Source organism: Homo sapiens, chromosome 15 (assembly GCF_000001405.40).
Source record: "Homo sapiens chromosome 15, GRCh38.p14 Primary Assembly".
NCBI classification, from domain to species: domain Eukaryota; kingdom Metazoa; phylum Chordata; class Mammalia; order Primates; family Hominidae; genus Homo; species Homo sapiens.
In genome coordinates this window covers 96,753,375-96,759,876 of record NC_000015.10, presented here as the reverse complement: position 1 = coordinate 96,759,876, position 6,502 = coordinate 96,753,375, and the positions used below count along the sequence as shown (strand labels likewise).

Sequence of the window (6,502 nt, the reverse complement as noted above, 5' to 3'; positions counted from 1 at the left end):
AATGCTAAAGCTATGGCTCAGGTGGCATTTATCCACATGGGGATGCATGCTCCTTCTAAAGAAAACAAAAATTGACAAGTACAAAATCATGTAATCTATTAAGAATATTCAATGACTATGTTTTCTTGAGATAAATAAAACTGCTTTTCGCAGTGTGGGAACTCCTCAAAGAGCTAAAAACAGAACTAACATTTGACCCAACAATCCCATTACTGGGTATATACCCAAAGAAATATAAATTGTTCTACATTAAAGACACATGGTAGGTGTATGTTCAACAGCAAAGACATGGAATCAATCTAAATGTCCATCAGTGGTAGACTGGATAAAGAAAATATACATCATGGAATACTATGCAACCATTAAAAAGAACGAGATCATGTCCTTTGAAGGAACATGGATGTCTTTGAAGCCATTAGGTTTCACTCAACATATCTAGATATGGATATATGTTCAATCTGATATCAGTGTCACTTATTAAATCTTGTTCATTATTTCTTAAATAGTTCCTCTTCACCATCATCTCTTTGCTGCTATTTCTAATTATTTTTCACTTATCTCAGGGTGTTTATTATGCCTGTGAGGGAAAAGCAAGAAATGGTGTTGTCCGGATTGCTATACTGAAATGACTCTGCCTCCATGAAGTCCTTTCTTACTTCAGTCCTAAAACTATGGGTCCTAGGCTTTGCCCTTCCTGGCAATGCCCGGTTCCCTAGAAATAAAAATGGGTACCTGGGAAACAATTAAGGAAGAGTGAAAACCTAGAGAAATAAGGATAACAAGACACCGAGGCACCCTTCCTGCTGCTGTAGCAGTTGAGCAGCAATTGTAAATAAGTAGTTTCTCCTATGTGCAGAGATATGGCTCAAACCAAGGTGGAATTCCCTGTGTCAAATGAATACATGGTTGTCATTGACCAAAGTACAGGTGGTACTTGGTGTATTTTTTAATAGAAAATGATATGCTCTGGATATGAAAAGTATTTTGTACAAGAATAAAATTTTAATCCTTATAGGCCTAGATATTTTTTTAAGTAGTTTTTAAAACAAAAATATACAATTTAAAATTTATTTTGTTCCAAATTTTAAGATAATCTTTCATTTCATACCCGCTCATTGCTAGTTGTACCAACTGTATTCCCTTGCTAGTACTTTTTTTTTATTGTTAGAAACTCAACTTTTATTCTGAGTTAATCCTCTAGATAAAGTCTTAAGTCTGCCAAACTACTATTCCCCCCACCTTTTCTTTCCCCAACCATCGAGCTCATTCTAGGAAGTATGTCACTCTACCAAAAATGATTGAGTTGTGTTGGGCCTGGAGAAAAAGTTGGGCAAAAGGAGCCTTTCTTGTGGCTGCTGATAGTTAAGTTCATCCACCACCACACTTGGAGCTCGACTGGAGTCGCCACGGGGCTCCGTCTGTCTTTGTGGCCCCACAGTGCTCACAAGTTCCACTTCAGCTGTGCTAGTAGGTGGTAGCAGATTATTTCGACTCAGGGACATTGGTGAGGGAGAGGAGAGCCAGTTGGCTGCCGCTGGGACTCGGGCTCCTCTGAGGATTTCTTCCACAAGTCTTGGTATTCCAGCACGTGAATGGCTTGTGCTGATCGGATGAAGGGTTCGTGGCGATGGATTGCGTCTCTTGGTGGACTGCACTGTGTATGACAGAGATGATGTACTAAAAACTCCACAGCTCGATTTGGCCAATTTCGAGTTGAAAGGATGGTACTGGACCCAGGCCTCATAAGTAGCTTGTCATCAAGATCTAGGAGCTTGTCCATTAGGGAGAGATTTCTTGGCTGTAGAGGCATCCCATAAACCAAGAGACCATTAACATTTGGCTGATGACTACTTGCTTGACAGAGACTCATTGGATTTGAGGTAACGGACAGCACCTTAGACTGTGGCACTCGTGGTAACACCAAAGGATGTGGCTCACTCAGCACACAGAAACTTTCTGAAACGGGTCTGGTAACTGCAACATTACTCTCATCATGGTGGGCAAATCCTTCCCAGTGACTACGTGTCAACTGCTCCATACAGCTCACAACCTTGCTCCATACATTGTCAAACACATAAACAAGGACATCTTCTTTCATGCAGTAAAATGGAGCAATGGGAGGATACCCTAATTTCTGTTTCTCTGTAGCTGCTTCTGATTTCTTCCCATGAAATCCCTCTTCCATATCTGTGCAATCGAATGCTAGGTATTCCTCAATTATTCCTTCGGAGATGATTATAGAGTCTTCCTCGTCTCTTTCCATAAAAGAAAAGCTGGAGGATTTGGCAATAGAAGATGCTTTATGAGCATACGAAGATGAAAAATGTAACTTCTTTCCCCTTATACCAAATATAGTAGAATCTCTTTCTTGAGACAAGGTTGTTTCATATGAAGCTGAAACAGCAGAAGGGGATCTAGGATACAATCTATAACCTTCACTTGGAATGATTATCTGCCTACCTAGAATCCTGAGGTGAGGAAAGCTAGCTGTCCACTGTTGGCGCTCTTCTTGTAGACTCTTGGTATGCACACTCAACTTCTGCTCATACAAGGGTTCATCAATGGCTGTGAACATTGCCTAGGCTTTTTCAGTGGCATTTTGATCGAGTTCACCATATTCCCAGGAGAAGTCTGAGTTGCCTTCAGTAGATATCCCTGCGCCTGTATAACTTGGAAAAGCAGACAGTGAATTCCCAGCATCGGCTGATGTAAAAGGTGATTCTCTTGTGATGTCAGACTCGCTTTGGGAACTTATGTCTTTCTCATGACTGTCACTGGTGGGGGAAATTTCCTCCAGCTTCTCGGGAGGGAGATGATGGTTAAGAGCATGTTTTGTTATTCCTTTCAGCTCCAAGCTCTGTGGCATCGCCTTCCCGAGTGTATCTGGAGATCCCCCTCCTCTTCCTCCTCCTGCTCCTCCTCCTCCCCCTCCTCCTCCTCCTCCTTTTCCTCCTCCTCCTCCTCCTTTTCCTCCTCCTCCTCCTCCTCAGCCTCGGCCCAGGCGGGCACGCCAGGTTGGGGGCCTCCGGGCCTGGCCCTCCCGCTGGCTCCCACCCGGCCCCCTCCCACCACCTACTGGCCCCATCTCGCCCCGTCGTCGCCTAGACTCCGAGCCGCCACCTCCCCAGGGTCCCCACCTCTCCAGTCCTCCGACCTCCCTGCTTTCTTCCCTTGCTAGTATTTCTAATAGCATGCCCTAATTAACTCATTTTATCTTTTGGTATAAATCAATTACAATTAAAATAGAGTTTGATAAATCTCAGTGGAGTATTGTTTAATGTTAAAAACATTTTTTCTCAAGAGATCAAGTGTGATTAACTTCAGTAAGAGGCTAAAAGTTCAAATTATTCTCAGTAGAGAGAAATAGTCACAGTTACATTCCTTACAGAATATTTTTTTCCATTTCTAAATGCAGAATGTCAAATATGCAGTAGTTTAATTTATTCCAAAGCAAATTTAAGTTTTTTTCTCAAGTAACATGCATGAATGTGAGGACTGATCCAAAGGGGCCCCACAGAGGCTGCCAGTGGATTATGATCCCCGAAGCAGAAGCTCCTGAAAGAGATAGGAATGTTGAATTTTTGCAGCTGCCACTTCGCCTTTTTGGTCCGATTTTCACTTGCCACAGTGCTTTTGAGAGTGATCACTGTTGCATGTATTGGTCATTGCTTCCTTTTTATTGCCTAATAGTATACTATTGCTGGTATGTATTTACCATTAATTTTTCATTCACTGATTAATGGATATCTGGTATGTTTCCAGATTTGGTAAGTATAAAATCTGCCAGACCATTCAAATATATTTAGCTATATGGACATGTGCATTCATTCTCCCAGGAGTGGAATTGAGGTCATGTGTTTAATTTTTTTTTTTTTTTTTTTTGAGATAGAGTCTCCTTCTGTCCCCAGGCTGGAGTACAGTGGCGCGATCTCGGCTCACCGCAACCTCAGCCTCCTGGGTTCAAGCGATTCTCCTGCCGAATAGCTGGGATTACAGGCACATGCCACCAAGCCCGCTAATTTTTGTATTTTTAGTAGAGACAGGGTTTCACCATGTTGGTCAGGCTGGTCTTGAACTCCTGACCTCGTGATCCGCCTGCCTTGGCCTCCCAAAGTGCTGGGATTACAGACATGAGCCACCATGCCCGGCATGTTTAACTTTTTAAGGAACTGCCTTTTTCACCAGCAATGGTGGTGGAAAAGGCAGTATCTAAGAAAATTGCATTACGATGATAATACAAATAAAACATTTATGAGAGTGTCATTGTTTAGCTCCTTGCCAACACTTAGTATTTATTGTCAGAGTTTTTGTTGTTGTTTTAGTTTTAATCATTCCAATACATGTGTAATGGTAGTTTAGCATGGATTTAATCTGTTTTTTGATTACTAATAATAATCTTGAGCAACTTTTCATGTGCATATGTGCTATCCCTGTCTCTTCTTTGGTATAGACAAAACATCAGTAAAGTTTCAGTTCAAATCTTTTGTCCAATTTTCATTAGGGATTTTGTTTTCCATTTATTGAGTTTTAAGAGCTTTTTAAATACACACAGAATATGTCTTTTACCAGATATGTATTTGCAAATATATTTTCCCCAGCCTATGATTTGCCTTTCCATTTTCATAGCAGTGTACTTTGAAGAGCAAAAGGTCTGAACTTAATAAACTATAATTTGTCAATTTTGTTCTTTCATTATTCATGCATTTGGTGTTGTATTTAAGAATCTTTGCCTAGTGAATTACAAAGATTTTCTTCCATATTTCCTAGGATAGGTTTTATAGTTTCAGGTTTTACATTTAGGGATAAATTTATTTTGAGCTGATTTTTGTGTATGGTGTGGGGTATCAGTCAATGTTTATAATAATTTACACATGATATACAATTTCTAGCACCTTTCTTTTTTTTCATTATTATTATACTTTAAGTTTTAGGGTACATGTGCACAATGTGCAGGTTAGTTACATATGTATACATGTGCCATGCTGGTGTGCTGCACCCATTAACTCGTCATTTAGCATTAGGTATATCTCCTAAAGCTATCCCTCCCCCTCCCCCCACCCCACAACAGTCCCCAGAGTGTGATGTTCCCCTTCCTGTGTCCATGTGTTCTCATTGTTCAATTCCCACCTATGAGTGAGAATATGCAGTGTTTGGTTTTTTGTGCTTGCGATAGTCTACTGAGAATGATGATTTCCAATTTTATCCATGTCCCTACAAAGGACATGAACTCATCCTTTTTTATGGCTGCATAGTATTCCATGGTGTATATGTGCCACATTTTCTTAATCCAGTCTATCATTGATGGACATTTGGGTTGGTTCCAGGTCTTTGCTATTGTGAATAGTGCCGCAATAAACATGCGTGTGCATGTGTCTTTATAGCAGCACGATTTATAGTCCTTTGGGTATATACCAGTAATGGGATGGCTGGGTCAAATGGTATTTCTAGTTCTAGATCCCTGAGGAATCACCACACTGACTTCCGACCGGCTGGCCATATGTAGAAAGCTGAAACTGCATCCCTTCCTTACACCTTATACAAAAATTAATTCAAGATGGATTAAAGACTTAAACGTTAGACCTAAAACCGTAAAAACCCTAGAAGAAAACATAGGCATTACCATTCAGGACATAGGCATGGGCAAGGACTTCATGTCTAAAACACCAAAAGCAATGGCAACAAAAGCCAAAATTGACAAATGGGATCTAATTAAACTAAAGAGCTTCTGCACAGCAAAAGAAACTACCATCAGAGTGAACAGGCAACCTACAAAATGGGAGAAAATTTTTGCAACCTACTCATCTGACATAGGGCTAATATCCAGAATCTACAATGAACTCAAACAAATTTACAAGAAAAAAACAAACAACCCCATCAAAAAGTGGGCGAAGGACATGAACGGACACTTCTCAAAAGAAGACATTTATGCAGCCAAAAAACACATGAAAAAATGCTCACCATCACTGGCCATCAGAGAAATGCAAATCAAAACCACAATGAGATACCATCTCACACCAGTTAGAATGGCAATCATTAAAAAGTCAGGAAACAACAGGTGCTGGAGAGGATGTGGAGAAATAGGAACACTTTTACACTGTTGGTGGGACTGTAAACTAGTTCAACCATTGTGGAACTTGCATTTTTTTTAATAGGCCCTATGTGATTTATATGCTTTAAAGAGGTTCTGTTTTGATGTGTTTCAGGATTTGTTTCAAGATTTAGAGCTTCTCTTAGCAGTTCTTGTAGTGGTATCTTGGTAATGGCGAATTCTCTCAGCATTTGTTTGTCGAGAAAGACTGTATCTTACCTTCATATATGATGCTTAGTTTCACTGGATACAAATTCTTGGCTGGTAATCTTTTTGTTTAAGGAGGCTGAAGATAGGGCCCCAATTCCTTCTAGCTTGTAGGGTTTCTACTGAGAAATCTGCTGTTAACCTGATAGGTTTTCCTCTATAGGTTACCTGGTGCTTTTGCCTCACAGCTCTTTAGATTCTTTCCTT

The 6,502-nt window shown here is 40.4% G+C and overlaps 1 pseudogene; it reads right to left on the bottom strand.

The window, feature by feature from the left end:
* FAM149B1P1 (family with sequence similarity 149 member B1 pseudogene 1) lies at window positions 1,285-3,025 on the bottom strand (annotated as a pseudogene).
* Window positions 3,026-6,502: the final 3,477 nt, after the last annotated feature.